This window comes from Homo sapiens, chromosome 16, assembly GCF_000001405.40.
Source record: "Homo sapiens chromosome 16, GRCh38.p14 Primary Assembly".
In the NCBI taxonomy this organism is placed as follows: Eukaryota; Metazoa; Chordata; class Mammalia; order Primates; family Hominidae; genus Homo; species Homo sapiens.
The window spans coordinates 21,431,734-21,435,405 of NC_000016.10; the positions used below are offsets into that span (position 1 = coordinate 21,431,734).

The window sequence follows — 3,672 nt, forward strand, 5'->3', positions numbered from 1 at the left end:
AAAAAGTTAATGGGTTTTTGTGCCTGAAGATTTTGATGTTGCATTTGGCTACATTTAATCCACTTTCACCCATAAGTTTTAGCATCTAAAAAAATTAAATCACTGCTAATGCAATTAAAATGCATTATGAAATGCATTTCTGTCCAGGCTGGAGTGCAGTGGCACAATCTCGGCTCACTGCAAGCTCCGCCTCCCTGGTTCACACCATTCTCCTGCCTCAGCCTCCCTAGTAGCTGGGACTACATGTGCCCGCCACCACGCCCGGCTAATTTTTTTTTTTTTTTTTTTTTTTAATGAGGCGGAGTCTCGCTCTGTTGACCAGGCTGGAGTGCAATGGCATGATCCTGGCTCACTGCAACCTCTGCTTCCTGGGTTCAAGTGATTCGCCTGCCTTGCTGGGATGACAGACGTGCACCACAATGTCCGGCTAATTTTGTATTTTTAGTAGAGACATGGCTTCACCATACTGGCCAGGCTGGTCTTGAACTTCTGACCTCAGGTGATCCCACCTTGGCCTCCCAAAGTGCTGGGATTATAGGCATGAGCCACTGTGCCCAGCTTAAGATCTCTGTTTTAATGTTAATGCTGGTCAGTTGTGTCTGGATTCCAGAGGGAGGAAGGTAGAATGAGGCATGTTGACACCTCCCCTTCCCATCATGGCCTAAGCTGGTCTTTTCAGTTTACTTTGGAATGTCCTTGCTCAACAGGAAGGGTCCATTCAGTCGGACTGGGTGGCTTAGAATTTTATTTTTGGTTTACATCTCAACTATCACAGCAGCCGGGCGCGGTGGCTTCACAGCTGTAATCCCAGCACATTGGGAGGCTGAGGCAGGGGTATCACCTGAGGTCTGGAGTTCTAGACCAGCCTGACCAACATGGAGAAACCCCCCGTCTCTACTAAAAATACAAAATTACCCGGGCGTGGTGGTACATGCCTGTAATCCCAGCTACTCGGGAGGCTGAGGCAGGAGAATCGCTTGAACCTGGGAGGCGGAGGTTGTGGTGAGCTGAGATCGTGCCACTGCACTCCAGCCTGGGCAACAAGAGCGAAACTCTGTCTTAAATAAATAAATAAATAAACAAACAAACAAACAAACAAACTATCACAGCATAAAGTAGGAATATTTCGTTACTGTCTAGTTAAACTGGTTAATGCAGAAAGGAAGTCTGGTAATTCCAGTTTTAAAGTAAAATTTTGGACATTGTAGGATTGATTATTTGGCATAGTTGTGATGTTTGTTCCTGCGTTATGGTTTTGTTGGCAGGGCAGCCTTTAAGGACCTGTATATTTTCTTCTAGACTCTATATATTCCCTGTGAGTATTAGTTGTATGGTCAAACTGGCAAATTTTACCATAGGTATAAATAATAGAGAATGTGGAAGAATAGTGAATAGTGTCAGAGATAGTTAAAAGTCCATACAATAGTAGAGAAGGTAGTAAGTAATAGTGGCTTGGACTAAATATTTGTTGAATAAATGTTTTAAAAAACAGGCTACCTACAATTTGTGTTGAAGATATGAATGAATGAAGTTTCCACACCTTTATGTGGAGACCTGATAAGTAAGCAACAATAAGGAAGGGTCCCCAGGTTGGGGAGAGCCCCAAGTTGAGAACAATAATGAACAATTATTGTATGAACAATTGTTAGAGACAGCTAATCACAAACAACCTGCGGGCACAATGACCTCATTCCACACGTAGCACCCTTCAGCAGGACCCTATAAAACTTTCCTCCAGCCCTTGCCTCTTTGCAGGTAGCCCCTTCTCTGCTGAGCTGCCCACTGCAACATATTTTCACAATTTCTCTAATAAATCTGCCCTTCTTTACCTACAACTATCTTGGTAAATGGCTTTACCACCTGCAAAACTGACCCTAGGTTGTTGCTACCCGATATGGTTTGGCTGCGTCCCCACCCAAATTTCATCTTGAATTGTAGTTCCCATAATCCCCATGTGTCGTGGGAGGGACCCGGTAGGAGGTAATCGAATCATGGGGGCAGGTTTTTCCCATACTGTTCTCGTGATAGTGAATACATCTCACTAAATCTGATGGTTTTATAAAGGGCAGTTTCCCTGCACGTGCTCTCTTGCCTGCTGCCATGGAAGACATACCTTTTTGCTCCTTCTTTGCCTTCCACCATGATTCTGAGGCCTCTCCAGCCTTGTGGAACTGTGAGTACATTAAACCTCTTTTTCTTTATAAATTACCCAGTTTCCAGTATTTCTTCATAGCAGTATGAAAAGTAACTAATACACTACCCGAGACATCTTAGGAGATTTGTAATAGCTGTAATGCCAGGTCCACCATATTTTTAGCATAAAGCAAATGTTTACGCGTGATATGACTGCACGGGCTTTCTTTCAGCTGGAGCCATAGCAACTCAAGTAGTAACCCTATCTTAGTCTGATTAAAAGTAAATATTAGTCTGGGCATGGTGGGACATGCCTGTAATCCCAGTACTTTGGGAGGCTGAGACAGAAGGATTGCTTGAGCCCAGGAGTTTGAGACCAGCCTGGGCAACATGGAAAAACACCATCTCTACAAAAAATACAAAAATTAGCTGAGCTGGTGGCACACACCTGTAGTCCCAGCACCTTGGGAGGGTGAGGCAGGAGGATCTCTTGAACCCGGGAGGTGGAAGCCGCAGTGGGCAATGATCATGTCAGAGGTGTGTGAACCAGAGCAACTCCATCTTAAATAGGAGCCGGGAAAAATGAGGCTGAAACTACTGGGCTGCATTCCCTGATGGTTAAGGCATTCTAAGTCACAGGATGACATAGAAGGTCAGCACAAAATACCAGTCATAAAGACCTTGCTGATAAAACAGGTTGCAGTGAAGGAGCTGGCCAAAACCCACCAAAACCAAAATAGAGACAAGACTGACCTCCCATCATCCTCCCTGCTACACTCCTACCAGCACCATGACAGTTTACAAATGCCACGGCAACATCAAGAAGTTACCCTATATGGTCTAAAAAGAGGAGGCATGAAAAATCCACTCCTTGTTTAGCATATCATCAACAAATAACCATAAAAATGGGCAACCAGCAGCCCTCACGGCTGCTCCGTCTATGGGGTAGCCATTCTTTTATTCCTTTACTTTCTCTCTTTTTTTTTTGAGATGGAGTCTCCCTCTGTCACCCAGGCTGGAGTGCAGTGGCGCGATCTCGGCTTACTGCAAGCTTCGCCTCCCGGGTTCATCCCATTCTCCTGCCTCAGCCTCCAGAGTAGGTGGGACTACAGGCACCCGCCACCACACTTGGCTAATTTTTTTGTATTTTTAGTAGAGATGAGGTTTCACCGTGTTAACCAGGATGGTCTTGATCTCCTGACCTCGTGATCCACCTGTCTCGGCCTCCCAAAGTGCTGCGATTACAGGAGTGAGCCACCGTGCCCCTCCTCCTTTACTTTCTTAATAAACTTGCTTTCACTTCACACTGTGGCATCACCCTGAATTCTTTCTTGCACAAGATCCAAGAACCCTCTCTTGGGGTCTAGATTGGGACCCCTTTCCTGTAACTATCATGCTACTGCACTCCAGCCTGGGCAACAGAGCAAGGCCCTGTCTCAAAAAAAAAAAAAAAAAAAAAAAAGGAACATGACTTAATACATTCATTTTGGAGGGTAAGTCTCTCAAAATAGGCCTTTCACTGGGGGAAAATGGTAAAAA

General features: G+C 44.9%; 1 long non-coding RNA gene across 1 annotated transcript; it reads right to left on the reverse strand.

Moving 5' to 3' along the window:
• Positions 1 to 269: 269 nt before the first annotated feature.
• Positions 270 to 2,722, reverse strand: LOC100190986 (uncharacterized). Its single transcript, NR_024456.1, has one exon. It is a non-coding gene; the product is annotated as an uncharacterized LOC100190986 (long non-coding RNA).
• Between the last annotated feature and the right edge of the window lie 950 nt (positions 2,723 to 3,672).